The following is a 20,153-nucleotide window of genomic DNA, read 5'->3' as shown; positions in this document are numbered from 1 at the left end:
CTCTCTCCCTATGCAGTGGGCCCGGTTCGCTATGGAGACCTGCTGCCTTCCCTGGGACAGTGTGACGCATGGATGTCCTACAGCTCAGCAGTCCAGGAGTGGGCCACTATCTCCTCAGTGCCTACAGAAGACGGCCTGCACTCCTTCCCCATGGAAAGCACGCCCCTGGCTCACCTTGGTGGCATGAGAAGCGGTGAGTTCTCTGATGAGCTCTTCTAGGGCCCCACCATTCCGGCCACAGAGCACCAGTTTAGCACCCGCAGCATAGAAGACTTTTGCACATTCTAAGGGAAGAGAAAAGAGCCTTGACAGCCATTCTTCCTCAGTGCCGTTCAGTTTAAATTCACCCAGCGTTGCTGTTTGCTGCTTCACACCCTTCACAGGTCTGTGTTGGCCCCTGCTGTGTGGCCCAGCATGAAGCTGGGAGCTAGGGCCCAATGCCGGGCTCACGCCCAGTGCTACAAACATCCACAGGGCAAAGAGAAAGGAGGGCCGAGGTGGACAGATGTGTTAAGTATCATGCTCAGAACACCCCATGATGTTCCTGTTCACCTGGATCAGCTGTGAGCATCACCTATCTTCACAGCTGAGGGAGCTCACCAAGGTCACTCAGGCAGGGTCTTGTCCTGATTGGCAAGGTCAATGAGGGCCAGCTATTATGGTGCTGTGCCCTGCCAAGACTGTGTGGTGGCACTACCCAGGCACAGCTCTCCTGGAAATACTCACACAGTCCTGTAGAAAAGCTGGGGCAGGGGACCGAGGCCCTTCCCAGATCTGATGGGCTGTTTCCCAGGGAGTGCTTGAGGCAGAGGGAGCAGAGTGCCTGAAGGGCCACAGGCAGATAGAGATGGGACAGAAGGTGGAGGGTCTAACAACCTCACTGGCTGGGGAGGGGTCAAGTCAGTGCACGCAAGCACCTGCCACACGCAGGACTATTAAGGGTGCCTGCCTTTGAAAAGGCTCAGTCCTGCTGGGCGGGAGGGAGTGGGGACACTGGAGGAAAGCAGGCTCCACCAAGCCCACCACACTATTCCAGGTAACAATCGATGCGGACTTCAACTACGACCACAGCAGGGACAGTCCAAAGCTAGTCAGACACGTGCTCTATATTCTTTTGGTGGCAAGAAACAGAAACTAAACTCACACTGGGGCAAAGCAAAAAGAGAATTTGCCAGAGGGATTGTGGGGAAGTTCAAGAATGAAGAGGAGAGCCGGATGGCCGAAACCTAGGAGGGACCCAAGTGCTGGCTGCCCGGGTGCTCTCACGTGCCTGGGTGCTCTCACACGCGGGCAGGCCCCAGAGCTCACATGCACAGTTTTGTCTTGTCTCTTCCCAGCTCTGATCAAATCCCAGGGAAGGCCGTGATCAGCCTTGAGTGGGGGGCCCAGCAAGGGTCACAGGTAATTCTCCTGTGGCTAAGCAGGAGGGCCTGACGAGAAACCCCCTGGACGCAGCAGGGTAAACCATGAGAACTGGGGGTGGAGGACTACTCTATGAGGAGTCAGAAAGGAAACGGAGTGATGGGAGGAGAGGAGGCAGAGGGTGGCGTCGTTGCTTCTTGCTTACCCTCCCCTGCAACATATCCTATGTAAATGTTCAGTGCCCCAAAAATGTACATACAGCTTATGAAAAGCAGGACAGCCCAGCAGCCAAGAGAGTGGACTTGAGCTAGACTTCCAACTCCAGTAAGTTAGAACCTCTTTGTTTCTGACTTTCCTCTTATTTAGGATGCTTTTTATCTATCAAACACGGTAGTAAGAGACTACCTACCTTAACTCATTCAGTCCCTCGGGGTGTGACCGTGAGATTGAATGAGTTAAGGTAGGTAATCTCTTACCACAGTGTTTGATAAACAGCACTACAGCGGTGTCAATTGTCATTTTTGTATTTCTATTTATTAAAAATATTTTTTTTAGAGACAGGGTCTTACTCTGTTGCTCAGGCTGGAGTGCAGTGGCACAATTATAGTTCACTGTAGCCTCGAACTCCTGGGTTCCAGTGATCCTTCCACCTCAGCCTGCAGAGTAGGTGGGACCACAGATACTCGCCACCATGGCTGGCTAATTTTTGTATTTTTGTAGAGATGGAGATTTTGCCATGTTGCCCAGGCTGGTGTCAAATTCCTGGGCTCAAGCGATCTTCCTGCCATGACTTCCCAAAATGCTGAGATTACAGGCATGAGCCACTGTGCCTGGCCATATTTCTGAACTACTTTGTAAAAATGTTCTGGCCGGGCATAGTGGCTCATGCCTGTAATCTCAGCATTATGGGAAGCTGAGGCAGAAGGATCGCTTGAGCCCAGAAGTTTGAGACCAGCCTGGGAAACATAGGAATCTTGTCTCTACAAAAAATAAAAAATTAGCCAGGTGTGGTGGCGCATGCCTGTAGTCCCAGCTACTCAGGAGGCTAAGGTGGGAGGATCCCTTGAGCCTGGGAAGTCAAGTGAGCCATGATCACACCACTGTACTCCAGCCTGGGTGACAGAGCAAGACCTGTCTCAAAAAATAAAAATATGTGTAAATAATAATGTTCTAAAAACTGATGATGAAAACTGAAACATAGTTTTTTACTTTTTTTTTTTTTTTTTTTGATACAGGGTCTCGCTCTGCACCCAGGCTAGAATGCAGTAGTGTCATCATGGCTCTCTGCAGCCTCAACCTCCCAGGCTCAAGCGAGCCTCCACCTCAGGCTTCCAAGTTGCCGGGACTACAGGCACATGCCACCATGCTTGGCTAACTTTTGTAGAGATGAGGTTTCGCCATGTTGCCCAGGCTGCTCTAGAACTCCTGAACTCAAGCGATCCTCCTGCCTGGGCCTCCAAAAGTGCTGGGATTACAGGCATGAGCCACTGCACCTGGCCACATGCTGGTTTAAAGAGGCACTCCTGTCCTCACCTGAGGCATAGTCTCCCTTAAGTGCTCACCAGCAGATCTGCACAGGATACCTTGGCCCCTGGCTGACCCTGACCTGACACCAGTGAGCCACTGACTTGGTTCCAGACCGAATCTTAGAGGCCCAGGTGATTAGGTGGCACCCTAGCTCCTGGTTCATGAAAGGGAATGGCCTTTGCAGGCTAATTCCATCTCTGGTAGCCATGTGGTGATGGGCCAATACTGCAGGGTCAGAGGATCAGGGCTGCCATCTCCTCAGCTGGGAAGGAAAGGTCAGAGGGGCAGGCGGTGTGTACTGGTCTGAACAGGCCTGCCCTTAGAGAAGTGTCAAACTTCCTTAAAGCTAGATGGGTTCAAAACATGGGAGGAGAAGAAACTCCTTCAGCACCAGGGGTCCTGAGAGGTCTGAGGGAAGGCTCCCTGACGTCTGTCTCATGGTGTGAAGCCTCCGTGTGCTCCACAGCTTCTTGTTCAGCTCCCCACACAGCATTTGCTCATCCCCCAGGCGCCTCTCCATACACCCGACAGTCTTCGGGAAAGAGGTGCTAAGTAGACTCAATCTAGACACACTATCTTCTTTGAAGGAGGTGAGGTTGGTGTGTTCGTTGGCTCATCCCAACAAAGGGCAAAAGCCCGGAGAGAGCACCCACCCTGGGTAGTGAGGCCTGGTCCCAGCGCCCCAACCCTGCCTCCCTGGTGCGCTTCTCAGCAGAGCAGCAGAGCCCCCACAGGAATGAGGGGGGTGATGGCTGCACTCCAAGCCAGATGCCAGCATTCCTGAGGCTAGAACTGCTCATCCGGTTTATAAATCATTCCCAAAGGCTAGGAACCTTGGGCCCTGCTGGCTTCCTCACCCCATTTTGTCTTGTCCTGACCAATACATAGGACATTTGTGAGGTGCCACCAAAGGGTGCAGACACAGAACCCTTCAAAGGTGGGAGTCCCGCTGGAGTCTAAACAGCTTTGGGGAGATGACTGCCTCAAACCTGTTTGAGTTTTGCTTCCTAGCAAAGCTAAAAAGAGAGGAAATGAAAGTTTGTGTAGGGAGTGACAGAAATGAAAACAACAGATTGGAAGGATTCCATTTTCATTTATTGAAAAGCTGATATTGGAAGGTAGGAGGGTCCAAGGAAAACAACTCCAAGGTACGATATATGAAGGGCTGCAGATGACTGTCCAGTGCCGCTGGCACGCCTGGCTGGAAATCAACAGAGCTGTGCACAGCCCTGTGGCTAAAGCTGGAGGAAGGAGATATCCAGAACGTTCTGTTCCTTTAGTCAGTGGTCCCACACTATTCTACAAGGACAAGCTCAAGAGGCTTAAGTACACAAAACAAGAGACAAGATAGGAGAAACACGGAAAACTGAAGACTCGTTGCATAACTCCAAACCTTCCGGGTGGCTGACACGGCAGGCAGAGCCACTGAGGACAACATAGCTCTGCCTCCTCACAGAAGCAAGGCAACATCAGAACGTCCTTGGTGGCATCAACAGTGGCTGTACTTGACATGGCCAGTTAAGAACCTGCCCTACTTTATCTGGATGGAGGGACTCTTGTTCCCAAAAAGTTAAATGGGGCAGAATATAAGCAGTGACTGGAATCCAGGAAGGGCCTGACATCTTATGATACATAGACAGGTCTGGTGACCTCCGTGACATTTTCTGTTCCCTTCATAGTCTTGGTGTCAGGAGAGGAGATGCAGAATGAAGATGACAGCATGCTTCTCAAACATGCATGGATGGGAGCACTTGCGACTCAGAGCTCCACCTCTGCCAGCCCTCAAATGCTCTTCAAGGACTTTCACAAAATGCTTCTCTTTGAGCTCAAGAGAAGTGGCTGCTGACCACCCTATATATAGTAACTGAGTAAGGTCAGAGGACTGACGATGGCAAAGGGCCTGCAGACAGCTGTCCCTGCAAAGGTCTGGATATCCAATGACAGATATGGTGTTCACCCCTGGAGACCTCACCTAACATCCACAGTGGTGCACAAATGAATCCATACTCCCTAAAGCTTTCCCAGGCCACCCCTGGCCAACTGCAAGCCACTTCCACCACAAAGACCCACCTGCCTCTCTGTGTTCATGCAACACCCAACTGTATAAGTCCCTACAGGACCGTGCTTCTCCCCTACCTCTGGGCCTGTCTGGAATGTTCTGTCTACTAGCCCACCTATTCCTTCTACCTGGCCATCTCCCCTGCTGAAGCTTTGAGACTGTGAGTTCTAGAGACAGAGATGTGGGTTTGACTCTAGGTTTTGTACCTTCTGGCTGGAAGTCCTAGTCATTCCTTCTCTGAATCTTAGCTGTGAGAAGTCAGTGAGATCATGCATGTAAAAGTGCTTAGCACAAGTCAGCACATATACATGTGCCTTGTTGCCACCAGGCTGGTTTGAGAGCATATGTTACTGCAATGGCAATATATTGAGATAAGTCCTTGCCTTTCTCCTTACAACAGACGACCGTGACCTCCTTGAAGGAAGGGACCCTGTCTTTCATCTGTTTGTTCTAGAACCTGACCCAGAGCCTCCCACTTTAGCAGGTGCTCCATCAGCTCCAGCTGAGCTATCACCAACCAGAAGATGTAGCAGCGGGTGGGGTCACCACAATTCAGGGAACTCCTCAGCTTTCTTCCATGGAACTCAGAGTAAGCGTGGATGGCAGATGGTATGGTGTGTGCATGTGCAACGTGCCAAGTCAATATACGTGTGTGGCAGGAAAACAATGGAGCCCTGTAACTCAGAGGCTTCCAGAAATGGGAGAAGGGGGAACCCAGGTTTTGACACTCCAGGCCAGGGTCCCGGTACACCATTCCTGAGACTTAGAAGCTCATGGTGTTCACTGGGTTGGAATGGACCTAGATTGGAGACCCTGGAACAGCTGAGGCACCATTTATCTGTCTTTGACCTTGTCTAGACCATGCTGAGGGGACAGCTGGGGGCCTGGCCTGGGATGGCAAGGCCCAGAGAAAGCATGCACCAAAGCTGTGAACCAGAGGCCCCGGCTGAATCTAGGAAAGGACATGTTTCATTTGGTCCTCATAGAGGTAAAAACACGTTTTAAGTTAGCTGTCCATATTTGGAAATTGGGATATTTCACATAAAATTCCTACCTCAGCAAGCAACTGAGGCTGAGCAGGGCTGCCCTGTGAGGGGCAGGTATCCCATCCCACCCCACCCCACCCCACCCCCGGGGCCAGGCTGCTTCTCTCACACTTGCCTCCCACCCTGACGCTGAGTCATTTCTCACTGTGCCTTGGCTCCTGCTTTTTCCACTTGTACCAAGGACAGTGCCATCCGGCCCACTTCCCTTATCTGGCCTTCTGCTGCCGCTTCGGGCATTTGCGCTGGTGGTCCCTGTGCAGCTGGGCCGCTCCTCATCCCTGGCTGACTTACCCCCGCCCCCTGGCAGCACTGCCTCCAGGACCCACCTTTGCCCAGCCCTGAGGTGGCGCCTGTGATCACCACCACAGCATTCCGCAGGTAGGCCTTCCCGCGCACCCACTGCAGCAGCCGGAAGAGGCCGAAGACGCCCAGGCAGCCGAACAGCAGGGGCAGGATGGCTGTGGAGGTGATGAAGTCCATGGCCTTCACCTTCGGCAGACTCTTCCTGGAAGAACCAAAACCAAACACACCAGTGACAAAGTAGCAGAGTTCAGGGGACTTTCCTAGGCTCTTCCTCTCATCTGATATGAATCCCAGATCTCCCTCTGTGGACTCCAGCTCTAAGCCCTAGCAAGCATTGACCCAGGCCCTGCACCCTCGGCCGACTGTTCAGCATTGTAGAACTTTCTTCCTCTCAGTACTGACATGAGCGGACAGAAAAGCCACAGGCCTCATGCTGCCCCTCAGGGAACAAGCGGAGATTGCCATTCAGCCTAGGACATAGTCACCCACAGTGTTACAGGAAGAGGTGGTGTGTCAGTACTCACCTGCCTCTCCTTCGGAAACCTGTGTTGGCCTTACCTCAAGTAATGCCTGTTTTCATTTTCAATCCCTGAATACTTGTGAAACTAGAAAGGGGTTTTTTGAGGAAAGGAAAAAGGAAGTCGTACCAATTCTTATCCTCTTCAGAGCAGACACTCAGAGGACGGACGTTTCTGGGTGGAGCAGCCCCTAGACTGTTACAGTGAGGGCCACAGATGGACTTCTGACCACAGGCCTCACAGACACCCAAAGGGGATTCAGTGCAGGGCCCTGCCCCAAGCACCAGCATGGGCTCCGGCCGGTGAGCGTGCTGCCCCGCTGTGCCTGTGGCATGTTCCTGCCCAGCATTCCCCAGTGAGCCATGAAATCTGGAGGCTGTATGAGTGTCTGTGCAACAGTGTGCAGTTGATTCTTAGAAAATGTGTGTTTTTCCCCATCTGCCCTTATTTCCCCTGAACCTCCCCCATTCCTCCGCATTCACCTGTCCTCCTGTGCCCAAAGCAGGAGATAAGAGGGGGACACAGGGTTAAAGGAAGGCTGAGGAGGAGCTGGTGAGGACCGTGGTGAGCACCATGTGCTGTCGCTGGGAAGCAATGCCCTGGAAGGCCACTTGACGAGCGAGCCAGAGTCTATGAGACAAAAGGCCCCCCCCGAGTCCACCTCCAGGGCTGTGGTTTACGAGCACAGAATCCTTCTCAGGAAGGAAGAGGCTGGAATCCAAGAAGAGAGTTCTGGCAAACCAGACTGTAGCTCTAAATTATTCATAAGCTTGGAGCAATAATGTAAAACCCTCAGCCACCTACTTAATATCCCATCTCAAGCCCACATATAAAAAAAAAATTCTGCTTCCTTTCGTAAGAGGACATCAACTCTGGATGCCAGAGTGAAGCCAGGAACACTGTGGACTCCCAACACACATCCATCTATGCACCAAGTCGCTTTGATCCTGAAGTTCATGTTCAGGGTGGCTGTCCTGATCTATGCTAAATTGCCCCCTACAAGAGGATTCTACTGCAACGGAACTGTCAACTGAACTAGATTAGCATTTACTTTTTCACCTGCTTTTCCAGATACACCTGAATTCTTAACCACCATAAAAAACAGCCACATTCTTGGACTGTAAAAATGACAGTTTCCCATCAACTGCCACTTAATCCACCTCTGAAAACACCTCAGCTACTATCTGCTGCATGGATAAAGCTCCCTCTTGCCCTACACTATGCCAAGCCTCCATTGTATGAACTGGGGATTAAGGTGGTATCTAAAGCACCAAGCTTTTCACCAGGCACTACTGGTACCATCCCTGCCCCAAGAGGAAGTTCTGACCAGGTGTTCTTGCCTGCAGGCTATGCTGGGTCCCAAGGACCCTTTGTGTGGAATCTGAGAAGTGCTCAGGAAAGCTGTAGAGTAGGCACCGAGGCCTGTGCCACTCCAGGGTTCTGTGGGTGCTGCCTGGAGTCCTGCACGGGACCAAGATCCTGAAAACAGGGAATGTGGGAGGGTTTCCTAGGGGAAGGAGGGATAAACAGTGGGAGGCAGGAATGGTTGCCATTTTGTTGATATAGCTTTACCAGAAAATTACAGCAATTGACAAAAGGCAAGAGAAGGCTCCAGGCAAGGATAGCTTAAAACTTGCATGTAATAAGCTGGTTGAGGGGTGGGGGCTTGGGAAGAGTTCAACCCGGCTGGATGGCTATTTGGTAAAAGCTTTTTTCTCACTGCAATCCCAGGTCTTTGTACCAGGTAGGTCTCAGGGTAGGACCACCCTGCCTTGTCCAGAATGGCCCAGGGCCCAGCCACTGCCCAGGATGAGCTTGAGGTATGAAAGGGGTGGGGGCCTCAGCTCAGGGAAGGATAGTAGGGCTCAGCCTCTGGGGCCGGGACCCAGAGCCCCACTAGGCGTGTTGGGTGGAAACCCCTCCGAACACTCCTCCGTGGGCCCCTGGAGGCCAGTGCCTGTGAAGTCCACCCAATTTCAAATTGACAACCTGGGGCTGAGGCACAGTGCCACCGAGGTCATGGGGGTCAAGAGCCAAGTATGCAGCCTGTCGCTTCTCAAAACTCAGAGACCACTTGAAAAACACTAACTGCAGCACAACAGCGGCAGTGCAGGGGTCATGAGGATGAACCCTCAAGCCAGCCTGGCTTGGGTGACACCCTGGCCCAGTCACTTGGCAGCCTGGCAAAGGGGCCTCACTGCCCTGGGCCTCAGTGTCCTCGCCTCTGAGCTGAAGTTGTGAGAGGACCTCCCTCCTGGGTTTGTTATGAGGTTGGATGAATTCATCTGTACACAGAGGGAACACAGCTGCCACCAGCATCATAATGACCACCATTAACTCAAAGTTCCTGGATCAGGACCTCACCTCCCAGCAATCCGACTCCCAAGACTGTCTGAAGGGACCCCTGGCTTGTGAAGTGTGGTTCTTTCCAAATAAAGGAAGCTCATTAAATGTATTAAGTGTCCAATGTTGTTTAACTTCTATATTTTCATAAACCTTTCAGTTTAATCAAATTAACAAATAGGAAAAAACTCCACAACATTGGCAGAAGTCAGGCTCTCATGTCCCAAGTTTTGTGTTAGAAAATGTGGTTATCAAGGCCAGCAAAGCAGGAGAGAGCAGACAGGTACTAAAATGTCCCTCAACCCCGTCTTCACACCCAGGGAGGAGCAGGATGAAAATAAACCAGCCCAGCAAGGCTCCCCAGTGGAAGATGATTAAAGTTCCCAACAAATTGCACTTTCATGCAACCTAATTAAAACTCAAGCCAGCAATCCATGACATGAAGAAAAGAGCGAAAACTACACACCGTCTTGTACACTTCTGGGATTCCTTGAGCACCTGACACAACATCACAGGCCAGCCTTGGTCTCCTGGCCCTGGAGACCACTTTGCCTGAGGCAAACATGGCGCCGGGTGAATGGGATCCATCCTTGGCCCGGGCCGCTGTCTGTGGGGAGAGCGCATGTCTGCATTCAGTCTGGTAAAGTGCTATCGAATCAGAATGCAAAGCAAATTAAAAGCCAGTGCCAAGGCCAAACGCAGTGCCTCGCGCCTGTAATTCCAGCACTTTGGGAGGCTGAGGTAGGGGGATCGCTTCAGCCTGGGAATTCAAGACCAGCCCGGGCAACATGGTGAAATCCCGTCTCTACAAAAAACACATAAACTAACCAGGTATGGTAGTGCACGTCTGTAGTCCCAGCTTCTTGGGAGGCTGAGGTGGGAGGATTGCTTGAGCCTAGGAAGTTGAGGCTACAGTGAGCCAAGATTGCACCACTGCACTCCAGCCTGGGTGACAAAGTGAGGCCCTGTCTCAAAAGCAAACAAAAAACAAAATCCAGTGCCAACTCTCCCCTGCTAACAAAGAATGACCATGGTGGGAAAAGACACCCCAGAGTGAGCCATTTATCTGAGAATCAGGTTCAATTCCAGCATAACTTTCCTGACTAGATGAAGTTGTTCATATTGATAATCCCGACTCTTTCCAGAGTTTTTCAAACTCTGAAAGCCCTCCTAATAGTTCTTCCACTATGCAGGGCATGTGGCCACACTGCTGGGCCTTCTTGGGTTCTTAGAGACAGCTGTGCCAACACTTTCCTAGCTTGTCTTTGGAAGTCAGGATGACCATGAGAGCTAGCCATGGAAAGCCCCACCACCTTGCTGTGGTGTCCAGGGCTTTCTACCAGCTAAAAGGACAGCTTCACAGTGGAAGAAAGGAACAGTGTTCTAGCTGGCCACATTTCCAGATTAGGAAATAAATCTACATAAAGCAAGGTCAAAGGGAGGCCTGTTTTCTTTGAAAATGGCATACAAGAAGGATTTATATATATGTATAAACTTTAATATATTTATCAATCATGCATTTTATACCAAAATCCTTATTAACTGCTAGTTTCAGATATATAGCCAGATCATGGACTGAGAAGGCAAGATTGATGGTATAAAAAGGGACTGGGAAAAAATATCTGGCTCACGATTTTCAGCATTTGGAGATCAGCTTGTAGAAAGAAGGGACAGAGTCTGTCTAGCACCACTGTGAGCCATGGCAGAAAGCAGGACAGAGACATGGGGAGAGAGAGTGAAGCCAGAAAAAGAAGGTGAGAGCCCCTCAAATAGAAACCATAGTGCACACGGCATCTGGAAGCAGAGGGCACCACCTACACATGGAATGTGTGCAGTCATAGTCACACTCTTAGTCCTTGGGCAAGAGACCTGAAACACAGTCTCACACTGATGAGACTCACGAACTGGCGTGAGGAAGGGAGAGAGCTCAGGGGCTCACATATTAATACTGTCTGCTTATATTTTCATCCCTTGCCAGATCCATGAGCTCTAGACCCAGGTTAAAAGAGTGCAAAGGTAGCAAAGTCCCGCTAAGGGTGAGGGTTCCTTGGGCCCGGGCAGCCAGAGTTCGGGGCTTCTCTCTGTGATTCTGCTGCTCCTTTACTTTCTGCTGAACCCACCACTGTGTAACTCCCTCACATCCATTTGTGCAGCTCATCCACCCTTTAAAGGGCTTCTGGAACCTCAAATTAGACATGAGACTATCACCAAGAAATCAACTCTGAGCACAAATGTCACCCTTTATGTCATCCATTCCATTCCTTCTACTTTGGCCAAAATTCTCCCTTGCATTTCACAGACGGAATCCGTTCCTAAGATTCCTTTCTCTCGAGCATTTTTTTTTTTAAAGAACTGTTAACAAAAATAGGTTGTTGGAAGCTACTCAGAAACCACATACAGAAATTAAACTACTAACAGCCACATCTGAGAATCAAAGGAGGGGATCTCAAAACCCACCAAAGTTTTTTTTAAAAAGAACAATTTCAGGTCTGTAAGAAGGATTAGCCATGAAATAATTTGCCATGTTACACACAAGAAAATCAGGCTAAAGGGCAGAGAGGAGTTCCAACTGGAAGGAAAGACACTGAAATCACACGGCAAGGAGTGGCTTAGTATTGCTAAAGCAGTTAGGATCCTGCTCCCACAAACCTACACGTACTCTTTTATTTTATAACCAATGGCCAGTTCTAATCAGCTGCTCTATTTAAGGTGACATAAACTATGGGTCATGCTTATGACCCATATCTTGAAATATATCTGAAAGCTTCTGTCATTTTCAGAAAGTAAAGGCAGGGTCAAACTGCCTTTTTTTTTTTTTGGTCTCAAATGTCTGAGAAGCCACATTAAGGCCGCCTTCGACTGGAAAAAAAAAAGAACAATATCCTACCTCAGATGGCAGCTACCTTGCCAGTGGCGGTTCCTGGCGCCAGTGTCTTCTCTGGTCTTTTGACCTGGGCCAGAGGACACCTTCAGGTCAGCAAGCCCTCCCTGGAATGCCTGAACAAGCCACGGCAGAGTGGCCTGTGGGGTGTATTTTCAGAAGCCAGCCTTCAGCTCCCTGGTTTAAAAGAGTACAGGCTGGCTTTAGTAAAAATAAAACCTGAAGGAAGGCTGGAGATTTCAGACCAGGCTCCTGAGTGTTCAATCCTGGGAAGAGCAGCCACATTGAAGTGAGCTCTGCTCTCCAGTAAGATGCCAAGCACATGCTTCCCGGCAATCCTGTGAGGGGGGGCGGAGAAAGGTGCCAAAGCCCAGCCCCGGGCCCTGTAATATGATGGCACAGGAGTGCGGTGACAATGAACAGGAGGCAGAGCCCGCGCCAAGTCTGTCTGTTCATTATGGCCTAAAGCCCTCCTTATCAATTATAGCACTTACTATGGCTACCTAGGAACTTGGACACACACAATTTTGGTTTTTAATGTGGTTTTTTTTTTTTTTTTTTGGAGACGGAGTCTTGCTCTGTTGCCCAGGCTGGAGAGCAGTGCCGCGATCTTTGCTCACTGCAACCTCCACCTCCTGGGTTCAAGTAATTCTTCTGCCTCAGCCTCCCGCGTAGCTGCGACTACAGGCGCACGCCACCACACCTGGCTAATTTTTGTATTTTTAGTAGAGACGGGGTTTCACCATACTGGCCAGGCTGGTCTCGAACTCCTGACCTTGTGATCTGCCCACCTCAGCCTCCCAAAATGCTGAGCCACCACGTCCGGCCTTAATATGCTTCTTAAAGTGAATTTAGATCAGGCGCAGTTGACTCACACCTGTAATCTCACCATTTTGGGAGGCCAGGATGGGTGGACTGCTTGAGCTCACAAGTTTGGGACCAGCCTGGGCAACAGCGAAACCCCATCTTTACCAAAAATTAAAAATTAGCCAGGCATGGTGGCACGCGCCTGTAGTCCCAGCTACTTGGGAGGCTGAAGTGGGAGGACAGCTTGAACACAGGAGGTGGAGATGGTGCCATTGCACTCCAGCCTGGGTGACAGAGTGAGACCCTGTCCCAAAAAAAAGAAAAAAAAAGTGAATATAGTGTTACCAGAAGACACTGGAATAATGTCACTCTCTTTCCTAGAAAACACACCAGAGCCCCAGGCCCCCCGCACCCACCCCTGACAGAAACTGGACAAGGCACTGACTGTGGTGGTGAAGAAGAGAAAACACCAAGCCAGCATGGGGGAGGGGGACAAGACCACCATGCTGCATACTTGCTGTGCAACACAGGCAGATTCATTCACTACTTGAAACTAAGCACACTCACCTCAGAATGGGGATGATCGCTCCAATAGGAAAATGCATAGGAAAGCACTTTGTAAATATGAAAATCTTGAACAACTGTGCTGTTGAATCATAAACTGACTGAAAAAAGGCAATTCCCAGAGAGGATTTCAGAAACGTTCCAAGCAATAGCAGCCAAGCTGGCAGCTTTAAGGGCTCGTCATGTTTGAGTATGTTTGGTAGAAAGACCAACCGTATTCCTTCACACCCACACCAGGGATCACCTCAGATCCTGGATGTCGTGCACTCATCCACTCAACTACACTTCTCAAGTGCCCTCTGGTACCAGGCACTGGGCTAGGGCTGGGGTGGAGGGCAATGAACGAAGGAGAAAAGCTGTCTGACCTCATGGAGGCAGCCCCTATGGAAGACTGACAATATACAAAGAAACACAAAAATTAAATAATTGTGATAATGAAAGAAACAATCAGTGTGAAACAACACAGAGTAGTGGGCTGTCCAAAGTACAAGCCTTGCCTGAAGACTTCATTCAAAGTCAAAACAATTCAAACTGCTGTGCTGGCCGAACACCGCACCTGGCCGAGGCCACTGCTGGTTTGTGACTCCTAAATCAGATTATTGTCTTTAAAAATTACATATAACAACAGCAACAAGACAGACAAGATGCCAACATAAATATGAGGTCAGAAATCTAGGAGTTCAGGAATCTAGTTTAAAAGGAGATGCTACAGCGTCAACTAGAGTATCTAAGAGGAACTATCTACAGGCATCAGTTTCAGAAACTTAATTAAGCAAGGCTGGCCCAGTGGCTCATGCCTGTAATCCCCAGCTACTCAGGAGGCTGAGGCGGGAGGACTGCTTGAGCCCAGGAGTTTGAGACCAGCCTGGGCAACAGAGTGAGACCCCGTCTGTATAAAAAAAGTGAAAAAAGTAGCCAGGTGTGGTGGCATGCACCTGTGGTCCCAGCTACTCAGGAGGCTGAGGTGGGAGGATTGCCTGAGCCCAGGAGTTTGAGGTTATAGTGAGCTATGATGATGCCACTGCACTCCAGCCTAGGAGACAGAATGACACCCTGTCTCAAAAAAAAAAAAAAAAGCACAACAATTGACAATATCTGCACTCAAGATTGAGCAGCATAGCCAGGTGCTGTGGCTCATGCCTGTAATTTCAGCCCTTTAGGAGGCCAAGACAGGAGGATCACTTGAGCTCAGGAGCTTGAGACTGGCCTGGGCAACATGGTAAAACCCCGTCTCTACCAAAAATACAAAAATTAGCAGGGCATACTGGCACATGTCTGTGGTCCTAGCTACTTGGGAGGCTGAAGTGGGAGGATCACTTGAGACCCAGAAGTAGAGGCTGCAGTGAGCTGTGATCACACCCTAAGGATGTGGAGCTTGGATATCAGTGAATCAACAAGACCCAGCCCCTGATGCCACTGTGTGTGTGGACTAAGCCAGTGAGGAGAACAATCAGTAACAAACATTTAATTACCATGTGGCAAGGGCTACAAGGAGGCCACCTGATGCAATTTTAAGCACCTAGGTAATCTGGTCATTTATATTGCTTTTCCATCCACTAAAATGCCTTATAACATTTCATGGGATTTTCTTCACGGCGGCATTGAAGTGGGGACAGAAGAGACCTCATTACTAACACTTCACTGCAAGCAGACTCTGGGAGATTTGTAGCTGAATAGAAACACAACAAAAGCAGTTTTACTTTCTGATATGCTTTTTAAAGGGAACTCAATTCACTGAAATAGAGTGGTCAGCACAAAGACTCAAGAAGTAAAATACACAGAACTGAAAAAAACTCCAGAAGTAAATGTCCCCCTAGTGTCCTGACAATGTACCAAAGCCGTTTCTAATTTAACTTGATTATTTAGATTATACCTGTGTTTTTTGTTTTTTGGTTTTTTTTGGTTTTTTTTTTGAGACAGTCTTGCTCTGTCACCCAGGCTGTAGTGCAGTGGCGCGATCTCGGTTCACTGCAACCTCTGCCTCCCGGGTTCAAGCGATTCTCCTGCCTCAGCCTTCTGAGTAGCTGGGATTACAAGTGCCCGCCACCACAACCAGCTAATTTTTGTGTTTTTAGTAGAGACGGGGTTTCTCCATGCTGGCCAGGCTGGTCTCGAAGTCCTCACCTCAGATGATCCACCCACCTCAGCCTCCCAAAGTGCTGAGATTACAGGCGTGAGCCACTGTGCCCGGCCTAAACCTGTATTTTAAATGGTACCAAGCATGTTCAAGAAATATTAAATAATAATTTTAAGAGCCTTCATTATAGAAAACACTCTCAATGCTAAATACTTTTTGATAAGTAGAAAGCAGAAGAAAAATTGGGTCTCTAGAAGTTCGTTCTTGCCTGCTGTCCTCTTTGATAACTCCTATCCAATCTTCAAGTCCTGCTTGGGCACCATCTCCCTGAAACCTTTCAAGCCACCCAGCAACCCTGCCCTCCATATCTGGACAGGGTTAATCACTTCCTTTTCAGTGTAGCCTCCATAGCATCTCACAAAACATCACAATGATTTCCCTTCACTGCCACGTGCCTCCCAAGACAGCAGTTCTCTGAGGGTCTGGCCTTTTATTCTGACTCCCACACCATCTATGTGGTGAGAACTTCATAAATGTTTGTTGAATAAGATTGTATCATGGAAATAATCTAATCCAATACCATCAGATTACAGAAAAAAACAGAGCCCAGATGTGTTGTTTTATTTGCCTACACTCAGTATTAAACAGAATCCTGAAGAACAAATGTTCTCACAGTCCATTTTAACTATTTGCCAGTTGCCATAAGAAAAGCAAACATTCCTGCAGCTTTATCTCAGCAAAATATCACTAAAACGAATTACGGCAAACAAATCACATCCCAGAGCAAAAGTATGTCATTCGCTAGGGATTAAACATTAAATGTTGCTTAATTTCATGTAGTCTCATGGTTGAAATCATAATACTTTGAATTCTAACAAATTCCTGTCTTGGTTTCCTCACAAAGTTAGATAAATCATCATGTCTCTGTTGGCTCCCTTTCTCTCAGACAAATGTGCCTTACTGTAATTTATCTAGGATGATGGCTCACCCTGAATTCCAAGTTATTTTTAGAGCTGTGTGAAAAACATTTTTGTGAAATTTAACTAGAAAATGCTCTTTATTCTAAGGGAGGTTTTGAAAGTTTATATAACAACTCTCCTGAAAACGTTTAGTACACTGACTTTTAATGCCAGCAAACACAGAGGAGGAAGGGCACATGTGGGAAGAACTGACTGGGAAGCAAAGTGTCATGAGCTGAGAAGGCTGTGCCACTCCCAACATCTATGATTTCATTTAAAAATAGCCTAGCAGGTGCCCTATCACTTTCTTTTACCAAGCGTCCTAGCAAATATTTCCTGAGGACACGGCTGTGTCTCTTTCGGACAGTCATACAGTAAGTAATCAATCTATTTCACCCACTGTTAGATTTCCCACTTTTCTTCACAGATACATGTCTTCTCTTCTTATTTCTCTCACAAGGCCCTCTTCCTGGGGATTCAAGATAATGTCTGGAGTCATTTCCTTTTAGCCTAAAGGACTTCCTTTAATACAGCATTTCTTGAAGGACAAATCTACAATCTACCAATTATCTCAGTCTTTGTTTATATGGGAATGTCTTTATCTTACCTTCAATTTTGAAGGATAGTTTTAGATACAGAATTTCATGTATATTCTTTGAACATACTGTTCTACTGCCTCATAGCTGCCATTTTTTTATTAATAAAATTTCTAAGACAAACTTTAGGTACACAGGAAAACTGAGCGGAAAGTAGAGTTCCCATACACCCCTGTGTCCACACAAGTACAGCCTCCCCCATTATCCACATCCCTCACCGGTGTTACACTGTTAAAACCCATGCGCCTATGCTGTCACATCATTGTTACCCAGAGGGCAAAGTTTACATTAGTGCCCACTCTCAGTGCTATGCATTCTCTTGGTTTGGACAAATGTATACTGACATATATCTATCATTGTAGTTTCATACAGAATAGTTTCACTGCCCTAAAAATCCTCTGTGCTCCACCTATTCATCTCTCCCTCCTCCCCAACCCATGAACCTTTAACTATCTCCACAGTTTTGCCTTTTCCAGAATGTCATATACTTGGAAACATATGGTACATAGCCTTTCCGGATTGACTACTTTCACTTAGTAATATACATTTCAGTTTCCTCCATGTCTTTTCATAGCTTCATAGCTCATTTTTTTTTAGTACTGAATAATATTCAGTTGTCTGGATGTACCAGAGTTTATACATTCAAAGACATCTTGGTGGCTTCGAAGTTTCGGCAATTATGAATAAAGCTGCTATAAACATCTGTGTGCAGGTTTTTGAGTAGATATAGGTTTTCAGTTTATCTGGGTAAATATCAAGGAGTGTGATTACTGTGGTGTATGTTAAGAGTACATTTCATTTTGTAAGAAACTACCAACTGTCTTCCAAAGTGGGTATAGCATTTTGCATTCCCACTAGGAATGAATAAGAGTTTCTATTGCTCCACTTCCTTGCTAGCATTTGGTGATGTCAATGTTCTGGATTTTGGCCATCCTATTTAGTGGTGGTATCTCACTGTCATTTTAATTTGCATTTCCCTTATGAAATATGATGCAGAGCATCTTTTCATATGCTTATTTGCCACTTGTATATTTTCTTCACTCAGGTCTCTTCAGATCTTTTGTCCATTTTTTTTTGTTGTGTTGTTCATTTTTAATTTTTTAAATTTTTTTATTTTTGAGACAGAGTCTAACTTTGTCACCCAGGCTAGAGTGCACTGGCATGATCTTGGATCACTGCAACCTCCGCCTCCTGGGTTCAAGCGATTCTCCTGCCTCAGCCTTCCGAGTAGCTGGGATTACAGGCCCACACCACCATGCCCGGCTAATTTTTGTATATTTTTTAGTAGAGACGGGGTTTCACCATGTTGGCCCAGCTGGTCTCGAACTCATGACATTGTGATCTACCCACCTCGGCCTCCCAAAATGCTGGGAATACAGGCGTGAGCCACCACGCCAGGCCTAATTTTTGTATTTTTAGTAGAGACAGGGTTTCACCATGTTGGCCAGGCTGGTCTTGAACTCCTGACCTCAAATGATCCACCACGTCAGCCTCCCAAAGTGCTGAGATTACAGGCATGAACTACCATGCCTGGCCCTATTTTTCATTGATGAGTTTTAACAGTTCTTTGTATAATTTAGACAATAGTCCTTTTTTTTTTTTTTTTTTTTTTGAGACAGGGTCTTGCTTTGTGACCCAGGCTGGAATGCAGTGGCTCACTGCCACCTCAACTTCCTGGTCTCAAGGGATTCTCCTGCCTCAGCTTCCCAAGTAGCTAGGACTATAGGCACACACCACTGTGACTAGCTAACTTTAAAAAAATTTTTGCAGAGACAGGGTCTTGCCATCTTGCCCAGGCTGGTCTCAAACTCCTGAGCTCAGTGATCCTCTCATCTTGGCCTCCCAAAGTGCTGGGATTATAGACATCAGCCACCATTCCAACTGATAACAGTCCTTTAAAATGTGTCTTTCGAAAATATTGGCCGGGTGCGGTGGCTCACGCCTGTAATCCCAACATTTTGGGAGGCCAAGGCAGCAGGATCATGAGGTCAGGAGCTTGAGACCATCCTGACCAACACAGTGAAACCCCGTCTCTACTAAAAATACAAAAAAAAAAAAAATTAGCCGGGCGTGGTGGTGCACTCCTGTAATCCCAGATACTCAGGAGGCTGAGGCAGGAGAATCACTTGAACCCGGGAGGCGGAGGTTGCAATGAGCCAAGATCACGCCACTGCACTCTAGCCTGGGCGACAGAGCAAGACTCCGTCTTTAAAAAAAAAAAAAAGAAAGAAAGAAAAAGAAAATATTTTCTACTAGTCTGTGGTTTGTCTTCTCATTCTCTTGACACAGTCTTTCTCAGACTAGAAGTTTTTAATTTTAATGAAGTCCAGTTTATCAATTATTTCTTTCATGGATCATGCCCAAAAGTCACCACCATACCCGAGGTCATCAAATTTTCTCTTATGTTATCTTCTAGCAGTTTCATGGTTTTGCATTTTACATTTAGGTCTATGATCCATTTTGAGTTAACTTTTGAGAAAGTTGTGAAGTCTGTGTTTAGATTTTTTTTTTTTTTTTGCATGCAGATAGTGTTTCAATCTGCTGAAAAGACTATCTTTTCTCCATTGTCAAACATCAGTTGGCTCTATTTATGTGAGTCTATTTCTGGGCTCTCTATTCTGTTCCATTGATCTACTTGTTGTTTCACCAATATCACTGTCCTGATTAATGTAGCTTTATACTAAGTCTTGGAGTCAGGTAGCGTCAGTCCTCTAACTTGTTTCTCCCACAATATTGAGTTGGTTATTCTTGGTCTTTTGCCTTTCCACATAAACTTTATAATCAGTTTGTCAATATCCATAAAATGACTTGCTGGGATTTGGATTGGGATTGCATTGACTCCATAGATAAGCTAGGAAGAAATTATATCTTGACATTATTGAGTTGTTCTATCTGTGAACATGGAATATCTATTTAGTTGATACATTTCATCACAGTTTTATAGTCTGCCTCATTAAAAAACCTGTTCATACTTAATGTCTTTTTAATTTCAAATTCTACTTGTTCACGGCTGGTATACAGAAAAGTGATTCATGTTTATACATTAACCTTGTATCCTGCAACTTTGCTTAGTTTCTTATTCTTTCAGAGTTTTTACATAAATGATTGCCA

The 20,153-nt window shown here is 47.4% G+C and overlaps 1 protein-coding gene across 12 annotated transcripts in view; it reads right to left on the bottom strand.

The window, feature by feature from the left end:
- The window catches only part of DHRS7B (dehydrogenase/reductase 7B), a 64,457-nt gene that overhangs the window by 12,904 nt on the left and 31,400 nt on the right, over positions 1–20,153 (bottom strand). For 4 of the 12 annotated variants that reach the window (NM_015510.5, XM_024450685.2, NM_001393659.1 and 1 more), the window contains exons 2-3: positions 6,321–6,499; positions 175–284 (exon numbers count right to left, since the gene is read on the bottom strand). In NM_015510.5, the coding sequence (NP_056325.2) occupies positions 175–284; positions 6,321–6,499 (289 nt within the window). Of the gene's footprint in view, positions 1–174; positions 285–6,320; positions 6,500–6,944; positions 9,766–12,045; positions 12,348–20,153 lie in introns of those variants that run through there. The other 8 variants (XM_047435722.1, XM_011523786.3, XM_047435724.1 and 5 more) reach the window with 7 other exon arrangements.

Source organism: Homo sapiens, chromosome 17 (genome assembly GCF_000001405.40).
Source record: "Homo sapiens chromosome 17, GRCh38.p14 Primary Assembly".
NCBI lineage: Eukaryota > Metazoa > Chordata > Mammalia > Primates > Hominidae > Homo > Homo sapiens.
Note: the sequence above shows the minus strand (reverse complement) of the source record. Positions and strands in the feature narration are given on the sequence as shown.